The following is a 21,886-nucleotide window of genomic DNA, read 5'->3' as shown; positions in this document are numbered from 1 at the left end:
CTCATTCCGGGTAAACATTTGGGGCCCACCTACATTCCAGGCCAGGAGAGAGAAGGAAAGACTCCTGGCCTCAAGAAGCCTCCAGCAAATAGACGCACACACGAAGAAACAGAACACGGAAGGGCCCACATCTGCTCAGAGCACTCGGACACCCTTGAGAAGTTGGCGGCATTCCAGATGGACCCTAGAGGATGCGACTGGGGAAGGAGGAAATGGTGTGAGCAAAGGCGGCTGCAAAGCTGGAGGGTCTTGAGTGACCAGGAAATGGGTGCCAGGTGAGGAAGAACAGGAGGAAGGCTGGAGAGGTCAGATTATAAAAGGCCTCAGCCCCAACCACCCCTCGGTGCTCCCACCTCAGCTCACTGTCTCTAGCAGTCGCCAAGGCTGGAATTTTCTCCTCTCGATCAATACTCTTCAATCTACCATCCTGCCAGGGCCCCTCTTCCCTGCTTGGCTGTCACTAAGAGTCTATTTCACAATAAGGTGTGAGTGACTGCTAACAGTATGTCCATTGTCACACAGGTAGAAGAGGCAGGTTTGTTTTTGTTTAATTTTTTTTTTTTTTTGAGATAGAGTTTCACTCCTGTTGCCCAGGCTGGAGTGCAATGGCACGATCTCAGCTCACTACAACCTCTGCCTCCCGGGTTCAAGCAATTCTCCTGCCTCAGCCTCCTGAGTAGCTGGGATTACAGGCTACAAACCCGCCACCACGCCTGGGTAATTTTTTGTATTTTTAGTAGAGATGGGGTTTCACCATGTTGGCTAGGCTGGTCTCGAACTCCTGACCTCAGATGATCCACCTGCCTCAGCCTCCCAAAGTGCTGGGATTACAGGTGGGAGCCACCGTGCTGGGTCTTTTTTTTTTTTTTTTTTCAGTGACTTCTGGGTCTCTTCCAACCACCCAAGGAAGCCACCAAGATTGTTTACTATTGTCCAGGAAGAAGGCAAAGGATTCCAAGAGACTTGGCTTCAAACCCAGGCCTGGCCGGGGCCTTGTCTTGACTTTGCATAAGCCTCGTGTCACTTCTCTGGGTCTCAGTTGTCATGTATGCTGCACAGATGCCACCCACTTAGGGTTGCCAGAGTAAGCAAAACAAAACAAAGTAATGCCAAACAAACACCCCTAGACGCACAGTTAGATTTGAATTTCAGATAAACAACAAATCATTTTCAGTATATGTCCCAACCTATATTAAAAATTGATTCAGCACGTATCTGAAATTTAAATTTAACTGGGCATCTTGTGTTTAATGCCAGCAGTGCTACTCTCATCTCACGGGGATTTTGACACCATGAAATGGGGCAACCAGGGGAGCAGGCTTTGCCTGAGCACTGCACAGGAGGGAGGCGGGGCAGGCACAGGAAGGGCATCTGCCAGGGTCTTCTCTGCACCCTGCACTCAGATGAGAGCAGAGAGTGAGATGGAGCTGGGTGCCATGTGCCTTTCTCTTTGACTAACAGTGGCAAAGGCAGATTTTTTCCTGCGTGCACCTTCCTAACAGGTGTACCTGATGCCTAAGCCCTGCCCCTCCAGTCAGGCTGTGAGTAAGTTGATGGGAGCCTCCAGGGCGGGTCACCAGGTGCGGCACCTGCAGGAGCCAAGTCTTAGGAGACCAGGCTGGAAAAACAACTCCATGGAAAGAGAGAGGCTTATCGGAGCTTGCTAACTGCATCTGCCCCAGCTGGGCATGGAGGCCCAGGTCTCGCATCCCCCAGACTCTTCCAGGAGTGGAGACAGCCCTGGTACTGCAATCTCAGCCTAAGCTCCAAGAGCACAGCCTCTCAATTCACCAGCTCAGGGGCCACCAGCAGGCACTTCTCCCTGGGCCTCGGTGGCCTCACCTGTAAAACGGGGGAGATGGGAATAAATAAGACATGCGTAAAGCGCTTACATGTGCCTGGCACACTGAGCACTGTGTCCACAACTCACCTTCCCCTCTGCACTGACGGGACCAACCACATTTCTGAAGAAACAATAAAGAAGCTGCCGTTGGAAGACTTGTGTTTCTTTCTCAGAGGAAAGATTACGTTGCTGTGTGACCTTGGGCCGGTCACTGTCTCTCTCTGGGCCTTCACAACATGGGTTCCCTTAGAGGGACCCACTCTTTATGAGTCTAGATGAATGCTACCGATTTTGTGTTTCTCCCCTCATGGGCAGGGTCTATAGCTGCACTGCTTAGTATGGTACCTGCTAGGCACAGGTGACTATCTTTTCTTTTTTGAGATGGAGTCTCGTGCTGTCGCCCAGGCTGGAGTACAGTGGCGCGATCTTGGCTCACTGCAAGCTCTGCCTCCTGGGTCCTGGGTTCCGGCCTCAGCCTCCCGAGTAGCTGGGACTACAGGCGCCTGCCACCACGCCCAGCTAATTTTTTCTATTTTTAGTAGAGATGGAGTTTCACCGTGTTAGCCAGGATGGTCTCAATCTCCTGACCTTATGATCTGCCCGCCTCAGTCTCCCAAAGTGCTGGGATTACAGGTGTGAGCCACTGGGCCTGGCCACAGGTGACTATCTTACGTATAAATTAATTAAAATGAAAAACTCAGTTTCTCTAGCCACATTTCACGTGCACCCACGTGGCTAGGAGCTAGGGTACCGGACAGTGCAGATCCAGACCGCTGCCATGACTGCACGAAGCTCTCCTGTTGGCACTGGGCTAGAGGGTGTGAGATGAAGATGGTATTTGTTAAGCATCTGGTACAGCTCAGGCTGATGACCCAATGACAGGAGAAAGCCATTTGCCAAAGGCAAGACAGCTACTGAGGAAGGAGTCATCCTTACTGGAGAAAACTTTCTTGGCCTTTGCCCAAGGACAAAAAACTCTCCTGGCCTTTGCCCAAAGACTGATTGGGTACCTTTCTGCTGACGCTGGGGAACCACAGTGCCCTCAGGCCTCTAAGTAGAGGGGCCCAAAACCCATAGACTTAGCAGAGTTCTCTTGGCCATGGTAGCAGGAAGTAAACATTGTCTGGGAAACGGTGGCCCTCCTGCCCCAGGGAGCCAACTGTTACCAATGGTGCTGCCCTCAGGGGGGATAATGATACCAGCTGGCAGGCCATGCAGCAGGTCCCCAGGGGCCTCCTCCCCAAGGGAAAGGGGGTGTGGTGTACCCACTCAGAGGAAAGGTCCATACCAGGTGGCAAAGGGAGCTGGGGCAGACCCTTGCCCTTCTGCAGCCCATCTCCTTTAGTTTGCAAAAGCAATGAGTCCCACTTTCTAAAAATGCTATTTTCAGCTTCCCTTGCAGCTAGGGTTGTCCATGTGACACACTTCTGGGCAGTGAGGTGCAGAAAAAAGTCCTTTAGGAGGAATGACTCTTACAAAAATAAGGCTTTACCTCTTTCTCCACCTTTCTCCACTTTCTCCACTTCTGGGAAGTGGACTCAATGGCTAGAGCTACAGCAGCCACCTTTTAACAGAAGGCGACCTCTCAGACTGCTAAGACTCTTGGTGAATCGTAGGTTTGTAAATCCAGCCTCCCCAAGCCAAAGGTCTAAGTAACAATAATATTATGATTATTATTTATTATAATAACAATTACATCTTTCTTAACACTTATTGAGCACATACTATATGTTCTAAGCTTTGCTGTATTTTACCTACTTAACTAGTTTAATTCTCACAGTAGCTCCATGAAGCAGATCCTATTTTATCATCCACAGTTTATAGATGGGGAAGTTGAATCACAGAGGAGTTAAATGGCTTGGCCAAGGTCACACAGGGTGAAGAGCAGAGCCAGGGTTTGGACACAGATGGTCTGGTTCCAGCACCTCCAGCCTCAACTCCCACACTACCACCTTCCAAAAGGAGAGGAGCAAGGTCTGTGGGTGACACAAGGGCTTCCTGAACCAGCAGGGCCCAGGTGGCAACCAGGCTTGGCTTGGTGGATGCCAGCAGAGGGGGGCATGCCCCTCAGCAGGGTATGAGTGAGTCAGCCACTCAGCGCATGGTGGTTCTGGCCCTCCACTGGGGACACTCCCCACACAGCCCCTGGAGAAGGGTGTGGCCATGGAGTCAGCCTGTCCATTCCATGAGGGCAGGGACTCTGTTCTGCTCACACCCAACACCCGACACCATGCTCTGTGCCGTGTTCTTGGGAGGCACGCAGTGCAGTTCTGAGGCGGGCATGCAGGTTTGGGGTCAGCCAGCTGGGGCTCAGTCTTGGCTCCCCCACTTCCCAGCTATTTGACCTGTGGACAAGCAACCTCTGATCTCTTATCTGAAAATGGAGCCAAGGCCAGTCTCTCAGGCCTGCGGTAAACATTAAACAAAGCAATCATCTCAGTGGAAACTCTCCGGAAGGTTCTACATGAGGGTCAAATGTAGCTCATCATGATCATTTCGGAAAAGGGCAAACCTCCTTGATCTTCCGGAGGAAAACCTTGGCCTCACTAAATGCAGAACCCTGACCTTCGGGCTTCCCCAGCCCAGGAAGGTGGATGAAACAGCAGAGATGAATGTGCTGAAGGCTGAGCCATCAAGTCTAGAGAACTAGGGAAGCAGAGAGCTTGGGGGGCTCTGAGTGGAGTCCAGGCTTGGAGGGACCGTCCCCAGCTGACCATCGGGGTGGACACCCTGATCAACAGCCTCACGCCCAAATATCAAAACTCACTGAACACAAACTGTACACTAAAGAGCTGAGCATTTCACTGTATGTGAATTATACCCCAAGAAAAAAAAATCTAAATATAGCAGTAGCATGTTTCAGATTTTCCATTAAAAACTCATTTTTATAGCCCTCCCTGCAAAATAAATCCAGATACACAACCAATCAACCCCCTATTCTCCAGCAGGCCCCCGTGAAAGGGGTATCCTGGTCTAAACCCCATCCATCTTGGTGGCTTTGTGGATAGCGAGGGGTCTGTGTGACCAGGAAACACTAGTGTGTTTGCTTGAGACACACACACACACACACACACACACACACACACACAGTGGGAAAGAAATCAGATGCCTAGAGAATGGTCCCACACCCACCACAGTCAAATGGAAGTCACTTCCAAGTGACAAGAGCTCTGTATTGACCTGCCACTGTCTCCATGAAGCCTTGCAGAGACCATGGCTGCTGCCACCCCTGAGCAGGTGGATGCCATGTGCTGGATGACAGCCCTCATCTCATGACCCCATGTAGGGTTGCGGTGGTCCCCGCCTGAGGCTCACAGACATTGGCAGGGCACGGGATCAAGCCCAGGTCTGCTGGGCTCTGCGGCCGCCCTGCCATGCACTGGTCCAGCAGCACCTAGGAGGTTGTGAGTGCTCCCTTGGCCACCACTCTTGCTATTATTGAGTTGGGCCCAAATCAGGTCCAAATGTGATCTTAGTACACTGGAATGATGCTTATCCTAAAAATAAGGAATCATATTGCCCTTGGAGGGTTAAAGCTTTAAGACAGAGACACAGATGGGTATGGTGGCTCATGCCTTAATCCCAGCACTTTGGGAAGCTGAGGCGGGTAGATCACCTGAGGTCAGGAGTTCGAGGTCAGCCTGGTCAACATGGTAAAACCCCATTTCTACCAAAAATACAAAAAATTAGTCAGGTGTGGTAGCGGCCACCTGTAATCCCAGCTACTTGGGAGGCTGAGGCAGGAAAATTGCTTGAACCTGGGAGGTGGAGGTTGCAGTGAACCGAGATTGTGCCATTGCATCCCAGCCTGGGTGACAGAGCGAGGCTATGTCTAAAATAAATGAATGAATGAATAAATAAATAAAATAAAAATTAAAAAAAAAGACAGAGACACAATGACTCTCATGGGCAAAGTCATATTAAGAGACAGGGACTCCCAGGACCCCAAGGCTAAGCAGTGACAGGATGAATGTTATTAACGTATTCAACAAAGCAGGTACCCAGCAGAGGAGGGGAGTTCTGAAAGGAAGAATCAGAGATGAGGAGGCCGGCAGAGCCCACTGCCCAGGGCAGAGGGGATGGGAGTCTTTGCCAGTGGACTAGGGCACCTCCTCGGTTCTGTACTTGTGTGGGCATAGCACGTGGCAGGAAAGAAATGCATCTTTGCTCTGATCTTGAATGTGCTTGTCGCCTTTGCCCAGGTGATAACAGTTATGCTTTCTGAGCCTTTCACATGTGTTGAGATTGACTGAAATCTTCATGTGCATGAATTCTCAATCCCCTTAAAAACCCTAGGGGATGTCCCCATTTTACAAAAGAAACTGAGCCACAGAGAGAACATGCAGTTAAACATAGGAAGTTTGCTGTTGCTTGTAACCACTGAGTTATTCCCTTTCTCCTGTGGGTACTGCTGCCAGACTCAAGACACCCTGCAGGTAGACAAAAGCCCTGTGCACTCTTCCTTTCTGGGCCTGCAGCTGGGCAGACAACCCTGAAACCCTCCCTGGAGAGTTACCCCCATTTCCATCTTTTCCCTGGACTGGGAGGCCTGAGGTCACAGAACCTCAGTGTCTTTGCTCAGCTGACCCAGCATCTGAGTGGGGTTGGGAGTCTTGGATTAGCTCAGCCCAGGGCCGCCGCAGCAGCCACACTGGCTCTCTACTGCAGACCCCTCCAAAGCCTCCTGAAAGCTCTGTATGTGACCACAGCTGCCACAGGGAAACTCAGCTCGCAGCGTCCTAAGCTTAATGATTTGCCTGTGGAGTGAGAAGTCTGCCAGTGTAGGCTGGAAAATGCCAGCCTCAAGCCCATGTTTCTGTTGGCCATCCTGAGCCTTCGGGGAGAGGTAAGCCTAGGCTTGGCGTCACTCCCTCTGTGGGGCTGACCCTCTCAGGCCCAGCCTGGCCTCCCCTCTCCTGCCTGGTCCCTGCATGGGGAGCTGGAAACAGCCCCATCTTCTTGAACCACCTCTGTCCCCATTTGCCAAACGGACCCTCCCATCCCTCCCTCAGTCCCCAGGGTTGCAGGCAGGCAAGAACAGGAGCCTGGCTTGGTGGAGATTTCCATGTCCTCTGGGCCTGTGTCATATGATCCTGACACTCGGTAGGGGGTGATGGGAAGCAGTACAGCAATCCCCAAATAGGAGAAGACTCTCAAATAACACCCACCCACTCCTCCACAGGGTTTCTTCCACGGCGCTCCCCAGCCCGGAGAGCCGCTTGGTAATTCTTACTACGGGTGGGTGTGGAGGGTGCAGGGACTCAGGTAATACAGCCTTTGTCCTTTTCTCATATTGCACAGTAACTGTTTTTTCCGTTAGGTGGTGTTGAAACCGTCTTCCGTGCAGAGGCTCTTCCGGTGAAGCCGCTGGCCTGTAAACACACCTTTAGCCAGACCCTCCTCGGTGCCCTGAGTGCCAAGCGGATCCTCTTCTACCATCTTGCTGCCCAGAGTTCCCATGGGGAGATGGGCCCACCCAGCTCCACACCCCAGAAAACCTGTACTCTCCTGCATGCCTTCACCCACCCCTCACCAAACACAGGCTGGGCAGCAACCATGTCGCTGTCCTGGAAGGGTGACAGTCACAGGCTCAGAAGCAGGGATGTCCTGGGGAAGTCAAGGAATCGCAGACCTCCAGCCCCACTTCACCTGAGGATTGGCACTGCAGGACGCAGCCCCCTGGGGTCTGCCGGAGGTTTGGGTAACACCTTCATGGCAGAGGCTACAAAAATCACTTGGCAGGTGCTTCTGGCACCAGGAGGAATGTGAATCTCGAAAAACACCATCTGGGTGGGGGTGGGAGAGGCAGGCACCTGCCTGCCACCAGAGTGGCTGGGTTCCCGACTGCTGGTGGCAGCAAGGACTGCTCAGTCCCAGAGCCCATGGCCAGGCCTCCTTGATGACTTATGAACAGTCTGCTCCTACCTACTTGGGAATTTGCTTGGGCAGGAGGGATGGGGAAGTGCTGGCCTCTGCTCAGGGCCTGGCCAGCTGCCTCCTCCAGCCCTCAGTGAGCACATTTTCTTTTTCTTTTTTTTGTTTTTAAGTTAGTATTTATTAACTGTTGTTTTAATAAAGGAATGTTTTTTTCCCTTTAATCCCAATTCAGTTGCTTAATGTAAAACCACAGACAAATTACTTATTATTATTATTATTATTATTATTATTATTATTTTTGAGTCGGAGTCTCACTCTGTTGCCCAGGCTGGAGTGCAGTGGCATGATCTTGGCTCACTGCAACCTCCGCCTCCTGGGTTCAAGTGCCCTGACTCAGCTTCCCGAGTAGCTGGGATTACAGGCATGTGCTACAACGCCCTTCTAATGTTTGTATTTTTTGTAGAGACAGCATTTTGCCATGTTGGCCAGGCTGGTCTCAAACTCATGACCTCAAGTGATCTGCTCGCCTCAGCCTCCCAAAGTGCTGGGATTACAGGCATGAGCCACCATGACTGGCCTAATGAGCACATTTTCCACTGAGGGATTAGAAGCAGCAAGTTGTTGCCAGTTCATCACAAGTCAGGTGGGCTGACTTGGGATGGGAGCTTACTGGGCCATCCTATTGGTACAAGGAAGACTCCTAGCACAGCCATCAAGCTGAGCCTCCATGCTACTGCTTTCTCTGAGAGGCCACCTCATCCAGCCTTTTCTTTCCAAATTTCTCTATTAGCCCCCGCTGGACTGGGCAGCAGACGTTTCTGTCTGGCTGACATCTATGACCCTTCTTTTCAACATGGCACCTCCATTTCCCTTTCAGGAGCCCCCACTGTCAACACCTGTGGTTCAGGGATGAAAATATGACCCAGTCTGGCTAATGAGATTACTGAATCACCCTGACCACTGTGACTGGTTCAGGAGAAGGCACATGACCCAAGTCAGTCCAATCAGAGGTAAATCTCTGCACCAGGATCCAGGTGCTCTCTTTACCAATGGGCTCAGGCTGTGAGGATGGAGCCTGGAGTTGCTGGCAGCTGTCTTGCCATTGGGAGGGGAGGAGCCAATGAGACCAGGACAGGATTCAGATAATATCCGAATAGTTGAGTCCTGGATCACACCACACCTGAAGCCAGATCCTATCCCTGAACTTTTCAGTTACATAAGCCAATTATTCCCTTTTTCATTTAAGCCAGTTTGAGTTGCATCTTTTTTATCCCTTGTACTTGAAAAAGAATCCTGATACACTGTTTTTGTCAGAGACAGTTTTCTGGGCACTTAGCTTCCCTACAAACTTGAAGGCTACCTTATTCTTTCTTCAAAAACTGGATGAGCAAAAATGGACAAGGGAACTTAGTTCTTCCAAGCAGTGAGCACTTATCACTCTTTAGACTTCAATTCTAGCTTCTCTTTGTTCCCAGTGACCAGTCCTTCTGGACTGAAACACTGGATGTCACAAACCTTTCAAGTTCTGCCTCAAAGCCATTTCCAGGCTTTTCCTGCCCATATCAGTCTTTCTCCTTTTCCCCCATCTGGAGGGGTCTTTGCACCAACCCACAGCCACTGGGGTTCACCTGAGGGTTCCAGCTCCCATTTGGGTGTTCACTATGTGCCTGGCACTGAGCCTCAGCCCATCAGATTCTCTCACCAACCCCATGGGAGAAGTGCTAGCATTCTCTCCATTTTGCAGAGGCAGTAATGGAGGCTTCAACAGGTTTGTTCAAGGTCACAGAGCTGGTCCAGGTGGCACAGCTGGATCCCAACCCCGGCTGGTCTGATTCCAAAGCTCATGTTCCTAACCACTGGATAGGCTCCCAGCCCTAAGTCTCATGCTGTGCCTGCTTCGCAAACTAAATGTCAGGACAAATAGTCTCACAGGTGGACACAGAGTTGAAATTGGGCACAGCGTTGAAACTGGGTCTTTGAGCTTCAGATGAAAAAAATGGCCAGGTCCCCCAGTCTTGGCTCTTGCAACAATCTCCTCCCCTCCCCAAGGCCAGGCTCCTGAAGGGAGGTACCCAGGGGAGGGACAGCAAGCCCCGGGTGGCACTGCCTGCTTCCCTCCACATCCTCACTGTGCAGGACTTTCCATCCATCCTCATCCATCCTCCCTCTTCCCCACCCTTGAGGAAAAAAAAATTACCAACACCCCAAGAGGAAAAAGAAGGAAGGCCGCGCATTAGTTACATCCACCACCTCATGACACCATCCACACAGGGAGCCCAAAGCTCACTGCAGATCGGGAGGAAGCAACTTGAGCACGGCCTTACAACGGCCGGGAGAGCCCAGCCCTGCTTTCTTTCCCACCCTGAGTGTGACTCAGCAGCATAACACCCAGTGTCTCAGTTTCCTTCTCCACCCATTCCCAGAACCCACGGAAAGATGGAAGCTGCTTGCCCCACACCTCACAGAGCAGGTTCTCCCGTGTCTAGCTCCGGGCGGGAGAGCTAACTTTCTGAGAAGACTAGGGGAAAGAACAGGCATTTCTATTTCCATATTATAGACAATCAAACCAAAGCCTAGAGGAAAGTCTGGAATCCACAACCTCAACCGCGCGGCCACTGGCTATACCATGAGCTGGAGAACAAACTGGAAACACACTACATGCTAAGCCAGTATCAGATTTCAACTCGGGTTAAATGCAGCAAAATGAGTAAGGCATGCTGACAGTCCCTGCAGATGTAAATAATTCTGCTAAGAGGAGAAGTAGGTGAACGGGGGCTCAGCTGAAGGCTCTCCTAGACGTCGCCATCACACAAGGGTGGTGAGCCTGCAGTTCACACATCTTCAGATCTCCATAGTGAACAGACGCGTGCTTTCTAAAGAATTTAAACCAGATTGAGACCATCCTGGCTAACACGGTGAAACCCTGTCTCTACTATAAATACAAAAAATTAGCCAAGCGTGGTGGCAGGCGCCTGTAGCCCCAGTGACTCGGGAGGCTGAGGCAGGAGAATGGCGTGAACCCGGGAGGCAGAGGTTGTAGTGAGCTGAGATTGTGCCACTGCACTCCAGCCTGGGCAACAGAGCGAGACTCCATCTCAAAAAAAAAAAAAGAGAGAATTAAAAAAAAAAAAGAGAGAGAGAATTTAAAAGAAGTCCAGACTGGGGTCTGAGCAAATGGCAAACCTGGGGACTCACTGTCTCCCATGCAGCTTCTGAAGGTACACACCTAGTGGGCGTTTCCGGCAATCACATCACCTCTACGTCCCTCCACTTCCTCACCTGTAAAATGGCCACAATGACAGTGAAGAGCAGTGGTTCTGGAACTGGATGGCCTGGTTCAAATCCTGGCTCTGTCCTTGGGTAGTTGTTTGACCCTGGCACGTCACTTCCCTGTCCTTGTGTGGAGAATGAAGATCACAATAGTATTCATCTCCCAGGGCTGCTGTGCCAATGCCTGAGGACAGATAAAAAGCCCCAGCAAGCGGCCTGGCACCCATGAGCCCTCCGTCAACACTGGCAGACAGCTGCTGATGCCATCACAGGGCATGCCTGACTCCATGGAGGCGACAGGAAAGGAGAGCAAGTCTTGGGCTCAGGCTGCCCAAGTCTTCCGGGCCGGAGCGGACACTTGCCCTTTGGTGGGAGGCTCTCGAGGCCGTGGAGCTTGAAAGTGCTGCGGGGCAGCTCACAAATCCATATAACTCACTCCCGATTACTCTCCAGCCTGCCTGAGCAGCTGCTCCAGGAAGAAATAAAATATGCTTTGCATACTTTAAATGTTTCACTTATGAAAACTGGCAGGGCTGCCTTTCTAAATTGTTTAGCAATAAAGTCACTAACGAGCAGTGTTTGAGGCTCTCCCCACCGGAGCTGGAGCCGGGCCGGGGAGCCAGCCGGGGTGGGGGGAGGGGGCAGGGAGGGAGGACAGACTGGCCGCCAGTGCGGAGACTGCTAGGGCTTCCAGAAGGCGCCATCTGGGATTTTTCAGAGGGGCACGGGGATCACATCCTGGTGTCCCGATGTGAAACTGGATCCTCCCTCTGGAAGCCAAGCCCCAAATGAGTGGGGGCAGAGGGGAGGGCCCTTCCGGCCTGGGACGTTTTCCCACACTCCAGGGCGCCCCGGTTTCCAGCCAATTGAGTTAATTGAAAAATTACCTTGGGCTGAGAAAGACCAGGACTGGGCCACGGGGGACTGCCTCACAGGAGACCCAACTCAGCCTCCAGCACTGGACTTCCACCATCTATAGCTGCGAGGCCTGCAGGGGTGCTCCTGATGCTGGGCACACATCCCCTGCAACCTCCCAGAGACCTCAGGGGTAGTTTCAGTCCTACTTGACAGATGGGGAAACTAAGGCAAAAGGGATAAGGAGCCTGCCCAAGAACAGAAAGCTAGGGAGCTGTGGGCCATGAGCCTCCGTGCAGCCTGGTGCTGTCCCCTGCGGTACTTTGTCCCAGGATGCTGTTCTGAATGTGTGGCAGGGCCACTGCGACCCCAAAACCCAACGAATGTAACTCGGAAGGAAGCCCAGAATGCAGATCAGCTGGCAGGCGGGCAAGAGGCCTCCTGCCCTGCCCAGAACAGGATGGTGCCGCCATCCGCAGAAGGCCTTGCTGCGGGCTGATATTGCTGATATTGACAAAGTGCTGAATAAAGCACTTTTCCCTCCTTCCAAGTGCTCACTTCTCTGTTTATCATCCCAGCTGCCTGGGAAGATTACAATGGTGGGTTTTATTGTCCTAAATAAAGGCCAGCCAACCCCAAGGCCCCGGGAACAGCACCATGACTCAGCTGGGTCACATAGGAGTCTGGGGTATGGGGAGGCCCAAGCCCAGTTCCCCACCTGCCCCTTGCCCCTGGCCCATCTCCCATGCACAGACACCAGGCAGTCCACACTGGAGACCGCCTCTCTGGGGCAGTTCATTCGTGTCCCCCTAGGACCCCTGCCTATTCGAAGGCGAGAGAGACCTGCAATTCCAGAATGGTCCATCCCATCTCCAGGGGCCGTGGCAGGCATGGCTTCTGAAACCAAGTAGGACACCAACGGGGGCCCCCACAGCTGTGTCTCCCCGGCATCAGGCCACAACCTTTCAGGACTAGAAATGAACACAGCTGATTAGAAAAACACCCTTACTTCACTTACAGAGTTTCAGCAGTTTAGTCTGTGAACCAAACATATAATTAAGGCACAGAAAAATGTGAGTTGCTTTTTTTTTTTTTTTTTTAGGAGGGGGAGCTGGGAGCGGGAAGAGGCAGACAAACTCAAGTCCCCGAGTTACCTTTATGTCTGAAGACAGAATTTCTTCCCCCACAAGAAAACTCGACCCTGACATAGAAGCTGCATATCCAGTGTGTGTTTTTTTGTTTTTGTTTTTTTTTGAGACAGAGTCTCTTTCTGTCACCCAGGCTGGAGTGCAGTAGTGAGATCTCAGCTCAGTACAACCTCCGCCTCCCGGGTTCAAGCGATTCTCCTGCCTCAGTCTCCCAAGTAGCTGGGATTACAGGCATGCGCCACCACGCCCGGCTAATTAGTTTGTATTTTTAGTAGAGACAGGGTTTCACCATGTTGGTCAGGCTGGTCTCAAACTCCTGACCTCAGGTGATCCGCCCGCCTCAGCCTCCCAAAGTGGTGGGATTACAGGCGTGAGCCACTGTGCCCGGCTCAACTTTTGGTTTTGACACTCACTGAGCACCTCGCCTGAGAGGCGATGCCGTCTAAGCAGCTAGAAACACATCTCCAAGCAAGGCATCCCAGCCACTTACTAACCAAGTGATCTTGAGCAGGTCACCTCACCTCTCCGTGACTCAGTTCTCTCATCTGTAAAATGGGAGTGATTGCTGTAGGGATTAATTGGGGGTCTATACCATAAAAGAACATTGCTGGGCACACGGCAAGTACTACATACATTTTGGTTATTATTTTCCCTCCTGCTCCTCCCTCAAGAACCACACTGCCTTCTCGTTGTGAGACCAGCCCTTGCCAGGAAGCATTGTCCTGGGTCCCCAGAGACTTCTGGAATCTCTGATGTAAATCCTCAGGTAGAACATTCTTTGCTGAGAGGTCTCCGGAGTAGGCTCTCCAGCAGCTGGCGGGGGGTGACTGCTGAGGAAGTGATCCTGCAATCCTAATCTGGAGGCTTGGGCACTATTCTGCTGCTGTCCCCTCTGGCTTTCTCTGGTTTCTGGACTGAAAAAGGTAGAGACGGAACTTTAATTCTTGCTCTGAGTGGCCTCTGACTTCCCACCAAATGTTTCCCCGTCTGTCTGGCTAGCTCTGCCCACAATTCACAAAGGTCAAACGCTGTTTCCACTCTGCATGCCGCCTCTAAGGAGAGCAGAGGAGAAAACTATTCGAAAAATGTAAATTAAAAAAAAAAAAAAACCCAAGGCTCTCCTCCCCAACACACACACACACACACACACACACACACACACACACACACACCACACACACACACACGCAGCTCACATCCAGTTCAACATAACACAAGACCACAACAAGCAGGAAGACAGAAGGGCGATGCCGAATTTTCACCAGTGGTGACCAGCTCCAGGCCTGCCTTTCTTAGAGGATTACAGACGGCCCTGCTAACCCAGACAAGGAAATCTCTTGTACAGAGAAGCATCCTTCCAGGTCCTCCTAGACACCCTTCTGGCCAGGTATTATAAGCTGCAGCATCTGGTGCAGCCCTGACCTGTGCTCTAAGCCCAAGAAGTGCCCATTGAGCTAAAGCTAGCCCAAGGCACAAGCCCAGGGGCAAAAGCGTCCTTCCATCAAGCCAAAGACCCCCTAGGACTACAGTCTCCTGGCCAGAGGTGCTTTCATGCCAAAACATGTTTTTCCTTAAAGCCACCCTCTACCCCTCATCTCCCAGGAGAAAATGATACTGACTAGAGAAGAGTAGGTTCTAGGTTCGGCTGCTGTAGGATCAAAGTGCGCAGCTTGAATAAAGAACAGAAGGTTGTGCAGAAACACTGCGTGTTAACGTTTGGAGCGGGTCGGAAGCGTTTCTTTCATCTACATGTTTTATTCTCTAAGTCAGCCTTCTCCTGCCCTACTCTCTTGAGCTGAACTTCTACTAGATCTTTCCTTTTTCCTCTCCGCACTCCACAAACCTCAAACCATATATATCCCTGGAACGTCTGGGGACGTTTCCTCTTTCCCGACACATCTGCAATAATGCCATGATCACTTGTGGCTGCTTGAGGAGGACAGGGGACAAATATGTGCACCCTGGGCGTACAGGGCTGGCAGGGGTGGGAGGTGTAAAGCAAAACAAGCCACATAAACACCGCAGCTTGTGATGCTTCAACACTGCCTCCACGCTTGGGTGAAGCTGCAGAAAATAAACCAATTGAAGAAATAAAAGTCCTAATCAGGAGCAGGTGTTTGCATTGTAACACGACTTGGGACACGAACAAGCCCTGTATAGTGGGCTCATTGCCACGTCTCTCTGGAATTGTAGGCTGACCACCAACCAAGCCATGAGGTCACCCCACCTCCAGCGGTAGACGGCCCATAGCTGCAGATATCCCAGAAATCCAACAAAAGACCAATGCCGGGTTCTAGTTATTCTCTCATCCTGATGCCTGGGACAATGAAGCCCAAACCCAGGAAGCCAGACAAGAGGACAGCAGCTCTCTGGTCCTTCTTTGGTGAACAGACAGCATGGATTTCAGCAAAGACCATGGGCAGAACCAAAGCGTTTTCAGCTTTCGGCATTCATGAAAATTAACTCAGGATAACTCCAGTGCCCAGGAAATCTTCCCTGCTCCTGATCTCTGGAGAAAGCTATACATCTTCGAAATTCGCATCTTCTCTGCATGTACACCTGCAGAAAGCTAATTCTGGGGAAGCAGGGTAAAAAAAACCGGAACCTCCCCACCCCACACCCCCATCCCACCCCCCAACCCAGGCTGCCCTGGCCTAGAAGATAGGCTGCTGATTCAGGTTACAAATTCCCAGGCAGAGAAATTCAACCTCCTTTTTCCAATGGTCGGCAGTTAATGTATTGTTCCATCTTTGCCCTCCTCTTTTTTGTAATCTCTCGGCTGAGTGCCCATGTTCTCAGGACCCTCTTGCCAAGAGGTGAGTATACTGTTTATTTGGCCTTGGACGCCACTCATGGACCCCAAAAGGAATATGTGAACTTGCCACTGCATGCCTTTGGGTCCCTTTTGACCTGATGGCACTGGGGTGGGGATGCAGGGCAGGCTACAGAAAAGGTGAATGAAGACGGGCGTGGTGGCTCACGCCTGTAATCCCAGACTTTGGGAGGCCGAGGCAGGTAGATCACCTGAAGTCAGGAGTTTGAGACCAGCCTGGCCAACATATAGTGAAACCCCATCTCCACTAAAAGATACAAAAATTTAGCTGGGTGTGGCGGCGCTCGCCTGTAGTCCCAGCTACTTGGGAAGCCGAGGCAGGAGAATCACTTGAACCCGGGAGGCAGGGGTTACAGTGAGCCGAGATTGCACCACTGCACTCCAGCCTGGTCGACAGGGCAAGGCTGCGTCTCTCAGAAAAAAAAAAAAAAAAAAAAAAAAAAAAAAAGAAAGGTAGAATGACATCTGTCTGGTCATTTCCACCTGCCTGGCCAGGCCCAGGCTACTGGGCTAGCCACATCCACCCTGATAGCACTCCGCAGTCATTTCCACCTGCCCCTCTTCCTGCCTGCTTCCAGAGGGGCTGCCTGATGGCTTTGAGTTCCTGCTATGTCCTCTTAAACAAACATCAAGAGAGCCAGGAACACACAGCTCAGCCCGGGGAACATTCTTCCTTAGGACGTGCAAGAGAAGGTACAGGCTCCAGCAGCTCTTCCTCCACCCTCACAAAGAGCTCCCAGTAGGGGACGAGAGCTCTAAGGTTGGTTAAGCTGGGAGGATCAAGGCAAGAAGCCCTGTGCTCCCAACCACCCAACCCATTCTACTCTGCCCTGGCTGGGAGGAAAAATGCCTGGAGAAACGAAGCTGGCCCCCGTGCCATGGTGGCTGTCTTCTTACAACAGAGGGGTCATCATGTCAAGGAAACAGACTCAGTGTGTAAGATCCTCAAGTGTAGGGCACAGGCCAATGGGTGGATGCTACTGTGAGATCAATTTTTGGCTCAATATAAAAGTGAGTGAATGCTTAAAACGAATCAAAAATTGTAGGGGTTGCCTGGAGAGGAAGTGAGTTTCCAATCCCTGAAGGTATTCAAACTCAAGGGGAACAACTGCACTGGACATTATGAGTCAATCTGTCTTCCTTGCCCTAAATTCCTCCCACCACAGCTACTTTCCCACAGGCCCTGGAAGGAAGCAGCTCTCTATACCAAGTACCCCGCCCACTCTTACAGAGGCAGCTGACTGAACCAAGATGGTCACCTGATCCATGGCCTGCCAAACCACTGGTTAGGCAGGGACCAATCAATGCCTGCCTCCCAGGCATTTAAGCGCTTCAGGGGTACAGAGGGAGGCAGACCCCTCCCTGGGTGGGATGATCAGGCTAGGTGAAGGCTCTGCCACTGCCTTTGGAACCTGGCACTCCTGAGGCTGAGCCTGAGGACTTCCCTAGGTCAACCCAGGCCCCCTGTGACTGGGGTTCATGTGATAGTCTCCCTTCTGCCTCCAGAGGAGGAGCTCAGGGTCTCTCTGTCCAGCCTGGCAGGGACCTCCTGTTATCACTGCTCAGCACAGTGCCTGGACCCTGAGCCTGTGCCGTGGACAACAAAGCTCAAAGCTCAGTCACTGTCACGGCTCTCAATATCCCAACAGGCAGAGGCGAGTGCCCGAGAATGCACACCCTCAAGTACACACACTCCACCCTATGCAAGAGGCACGTCCCAATGCAGAGGCACCTCCCACTGCCAATGCGGACCTCATGCTTAATAAACATCACTGGCCAGGCGAGAGGCTCACACCTGTAATCCCAGCACTTTGGTAGGCTGAGGTGGGAGGATCACTTGAGACCAGGAGTTCGAGACCAGCCTGGGCAACAAGTGAGACCCTGTCTCTACAAACAAAATGTTTTAAAAATTAGCCAGGCATGGTGGTGTGTGCCTGTAGTCCTAGCTACTCGGGAGGCTGAGGTGGGAGGATGACTTGAGCCCAGGAGTTTGAGGCTGAAGCGAGCAATGATCCTGCCATGGCACTCCAGCCTGGGAGGCAAGAGCAAGACCCTGTGTCTAAAATGAATAAACAGGCCAGGCACGGTGGCTCACACCTGTAATCCCAGCACTTTGGGAGGCCGAGGTGGGTTGATCACCTGAGGTCAGGTGTTCAAGACCAGCCTGGCCCCATGGTGAAACCCTGTCCCTACTAAAAGTATAAAAATTAGCCTGGTGTGGTGGTGGGTGCCTGTGATCCCAGCTACTCAGGAGGCTGAGGCAGGAGAATAGCTTGAACCCAGGAGGTGGTGGTTGCAGTGAACCAAGGTCATGCCATTGCTCTCCAGCCTGGGCAACTGAGTGAGACTCCATCTCAAAAAACAAAAACAAAATCAAACAAAAAATGAATAAATAAATAAACATCATTATCTGCAATCCATTGTATTGCACACAGTATCTAAGATGGTTTATTGATAAAGCAGCAGCTCTATTTGGCAAGTTCCTACTGTAGGATGGGTGCCATCATTCTCATTTTACAAGAGGTGGAAACTGAGGCTCAAAGAGATTAAGCAGCTTGCCCGAGAGTCTCCAGTGTGGTCTTCTCATAATGCATGAGATTCTGACCAACTGTCGCCAGATATCCCCTTCTAAGTGGGAGAGCAAAGCCCGGGCAGATGCTAACTGCAAAAATTTCTCCCCAGGAAGTCCAAATCCTGCCCCAGTGCTTGACGTCCTATTGAGTATTGGACTCTGGACTTGTCTGACTTGGCCATCTCTCTGGTGAGTCTTATATCACTCCAGCACCCTTTTTTTTTTTTTTTTTGAGATGGAGTTTCCCTCTTGTTGCCCAGGCTGGAGTGCAGTGGTGCGATCTTGGTTCACTGCAACCTCTGTCTCCCGGGTTCCAGTGATCCTCCTGCCTCAGCCTCCCAAGTAGCTAGGATTACAGGTGTCCACCACCACGCCTGGCTAATTTTTGTATTTTTGGTAGAGATGCGGTTTTGCCATTTTGGCCAGGCTGGTCTCGAACTCCTGACCTCAGGTGATCCGCCTGCCTTGGCCTCCCAAAGTGTTGGGATTACAGGCGTGAGCCACCGCATCCGGCCCATTTTGAACCAATACAAATGATCTTAATCTCCACAAAACCCCTACTAGATAGGGCTAGCACCCCAATTTACAGATGAAGATATTGAGGCTCAGAGGGGTTAAGGAACTTGCTCAGGGTCCCCACTGTTGGAACAATTTGCACCCAGGCAGTGGGGCTCTATGACCCTAAGCACTTGGTACATAGACTCCAACGTCCCCACACTCAGAGCCCTGTGTCTGTGTACCTGTCCTAGCTCAGTGAGGGGAGCCTGTTCTACACAAGGAAGGCTAAAACGCCCTAAATACCACCAAGCACAGAGTAAGGCAAAGGTGCCCTGTTGCTAAATTCCTACCTTCCTGGGCCATGCATGCCTGCTCTGCTGTGAGAAGGTAGCATCGGCCTGCCTGCTGGGTATGGATTCAAGTCACCTCTAAAGGAGAGCAATCAGCGCCTTTCAGGGAGATGGCCACGCTCCAGGCACAGGCTGGAAGATCAGACTCCCACTGGGAAGACTGAGAGGAGCCAGATGCCGTCTGGAGCACCCAAAACACCAGCTGCTGTTGCTGACCTCAGCGTGCTCAGCTCTATCAGGGATGTGCCAGGAAACTGGCGAAGGGGACGTGACAGCAAGTGCTTATGCAGCCCCTTGAGGGAGCAGGCACACTGGGGTGGGAAGGAGAAGGTGTTCAGTCAACCCCACCCAGGCCCCATACTCAGGAGGCTGATAGATCCAGGGGTCCTCCTACAAGCTGACCTGGGACTTGTGTGATCAAAGAAGGATGGCAGGGAGAGAGGCGGAGGGGACGTGATTATTACGGCCAGGAGACTGTGGACAGAACCTAAGAGGTGGCAACTGATTTGCTAGTCCTTGAAGATGGAGGGGGAAGGGAAAGGCAGGAAAGTACAAACAACTCGTAAAAGAGAAAACTGAGCTCCTCTGCAGGGAACTAGAAAGGGAGCTGGCCCCAAGTAGGTGCTCTAAGAAAACCTGCAAGTAATTAACTAGCAGGGTCTATGATGAAGGCTCTCCTCTGGTCCTATAACACCTAGCAAGGGGCATAGACACAGGCTTGCTGAGGAGCCATCTTCACCTTCTGCAGCGCCACTCTCTGCCACGCTGTCCTCTGGGTGACACTTGCAGATGGCACTGCAAGAATTATGCCCAGAGGGGCTGCACACTGCAAGAATTATGCCCAGAGGGGCTGCAATGAGCAAGAAAGGCTCACAGAAAGGTTGGGGGCCCAGGATGGGGAGGGATGTGGACTTAGTTCGGGGTGGGAAGATAACAGAGGCAAGAACTAGCAAGGTGAAGGGTAGGAATGAGCCAGGGTGGTTCATGGGACAGACAGGCCCTGAGCTCCTCTCCACTGGAGACAGAAGGGGGACTGTCACGTTTATGGAGCCTCACACAAAACCGAGAACAGAGCAGGTGCTGGATGCCCGCCATGTGGATGAACAAGGAGGCTTGTCGCATCTGGGGACAGGGTGAGGGAGGGTATCTTTCCTTTCTGGTTTCAGTCAGGAGTTTTAGGCAGAAAAAAACCCTCTTCCAGAATATAAGTGCCATGAAAGTAGGGTTCGTCCTGCTCAGCTGTCAGTTCCAGGCGCCCAGTGGGGGCCTGGTAAGTACTTATGGGATGAGGAAGGATCAAAGTGATCAGGGAATCTAAAAGGGGGCGGAGCAGGTAGGTGAGGCCTTAACTGCTGGGAGGGTGGAGGGATCCCTTTCTATATGGCAAAAGTAGCCGAGTATGGCTGGCACAGTGGAGCAGGGCACCCAGTGATCAACCAGCCCGGTTTGCCTGAGACCAAGGCATATCCCATGGTGCGGGATGTCCAGTGCTAGAACCAAGAAAGTCCTGAGAAAAACAGGACAATTTGGTCGCCCCAGGTACAGGTCTGTCTTCACCAGCATCCTACAGCTACCAACCGATGATACCAACTGCATCTGATGGTACCAACCGCATCTCTAATGTGCCTCAGAGTGAGTGAAGCACTTCCAAATCCACGGGCTCTCGTAAAGCAACCACAGATCCGTGAGCTAGGCCAGGCTGACACTATGATTTCATTTCACCAAACAGGGACACAGGTCCAGAGGGTGAGTGAACTGTACAAGGTCCCACAGCAGGTAATCTGCAAAGCCAGGGTTGATGTTCTGCCCGTCACCTCCCCTGCCTTTCCACACACTGGAGAGACATGACATGGAAAAGCAATGTCTGCTGAGCACAGCTGTGGGATGGGCGGATGTCGTCCAGGCGTCCCCAAGGGCAGGGGGGCTTGGAGGCTCCAGGGAAATGGGCCCATCTGGCCCTCTGCTCTTCTAAAATTCTGGCACTGGGGAGCAGGCGGCCACCACCTGGGATGTTGGGAGAGAAGATGGGGCGGGGGTGCTATAGGCTGCAGCTCCGCTTGCCCCACCAACATCACCATTAGGGCTGTCCCATGGGTAAGGCCAGGATCTCTGAAGGCCCTTGTGAAAGGCAGACAGACCATCTAGTGACACATCCAGTAGCCCCTAGGCATAGAAGGGCCAACCAGCCCTTGGCAGCTGGGCAGGGAACAGGCCAGGGTACAGGGAGAAGGGGAAGGGAGAGGGGAGAGGGAGGGAGAGAGGAAAAATAGAAGTGGAAAAAGCTTTCTAGAGCCACCTTGCTCAGTGGCTGCTTTCAGACTATAGTTACATCAGCATCGCCTTGCAGGGCTTGTTAACACCCAGACTGGGCCCACCCCCAGTTTCTGATTCTGTAGGTCCGGAGTGGACAGAGAATTTGCATTTCTAATATGTTCTCGGGCACTGCTGATGTTGCTGGTCCTGGCGGCACACCTTGAGAATCGATGGTCCAGCTCAAGCGGTTCTGGGGGATGGGGCTGGGGGTTGGGGGCAAAGGCACAAAGGACACAGTAGGGCCCCTGATGCTAGGAAGACAGGAGAATTTCTTGAACCCAGGAGGCAGAGGTTGCAGAGAGCCAAGATTGCGCCACCGCACTCCAG

The 21,886-nt window shown here is 52.0% G+C and overlaps 1 protein-coding gene across 21 annotated transcripts in view, besides 4 other annotated features; it reads right to left on the bottom strand.

Annotated features, from left to right (window-relative positions):
- KAZN (kazrin, periplakin interacting protein) overlaps positions 1-21,886 on the bottom strand; it is a 1,225,220-nt gene that overhangs the window by 160,871 nt on the left and 1,042,463 nt on the right. For 2 of the 21 annotated variants that reach the window (XM_011541076.3, NM_001017999.3), the window contains exon 1: positions 11,000-11,392. The exons of the other annotated variants lie outside the window; for them this stretch is intronic. The gene's annotated coding sequence lies outside the window, so the exon portion shown is untranslated. Of the gene's footprint in view, positions 1-10,999; positions 11,393-21,886 lie in introns of those variants that run through there. 21 annotated transcript variants of the gene reach the window in all.
- Positions 4,106-4,400: an enhancer, noted in NCBI's record as "tiled region #2794; HepG2 Activating DNase matched - State 5:Enh". NCBI's record gives its function as "activates a minimal TATA promoter and a strong SV40 promoter by Sharpr-MPRA in HepG2 cells {active_cell/tissue: HepG2}" and the evidence as "EXISTENCE:reporter gene assay evidence [ECO:0000049][PMID:27701403]".
- Positions 9,402-9,902: an enhancer, noted in NCBI's record as "H3K4me1 hESC enhancer chr1:15273767-15274267 (GRCh37/hg19 assembly coordinates)". NCBI's record gives its function as "activates a minimal SCP1, AML or CMV promoter by ChIP-STARR-seq in naive H9 embryonic stem cells {active_cell/tissue: H9 hESC(naive)}" and the evidence as "EXISTENCE:reporter gene assay evidence [ECO:0000049][PMID:30033119]".
- Positions 12,547-13,142: an enhancer, noted in NCBI's record as "H3K27ac-H3K4me1 hESC enhancer chr1:15270527-15271122 (GRCh37/hg19 assembly coordinates)". NCBI's record gives its function as "activates a minimal SCP1, AML or CMV promoter by ChIP-STARR-seq in primed H9 embryonic stem cells {active_cell/tissue: H9 hESC(primed)}" and the evidence as "EXISTENCE:reporter gene assay evidence [ECO:0000049][PMID:30033119]".
- Positions 16,868-17,369: an enhancer, noted in NCBI's record as "H3K27ac-H3K4me1 hESC enhancer chr1:15266300-15266801 (GRCh37/hg19 assembly coordinates)". NCBI's record gives its function as "activates a minimal SCP1, AML or CMV promoter by ChIP-STARR-seq in primed H9 embryonic stem cells {active_cell/tissue: H9 hESC(primed)}" and the evidence as "EXISTENCE:reporter gene assay evidence [ECO:0000049][PMID:30033119]".

This window comes from Homo sapiens, chromosome 1 (genome assembly GCF_000001405.40).
Source record: "Homo sapiens chromosome 1, GRCh38.p14 Primary Assembly".
NCBI lineage: Eukaryota > Metazoa > Chordata > Mammalia > Primates > Hominidae > Homo > Homo sapiens.
Note: the sequence above shows the minus strand (reverse complement) of the source record. Positions and strands in the feature narration are given on the sequence as shown.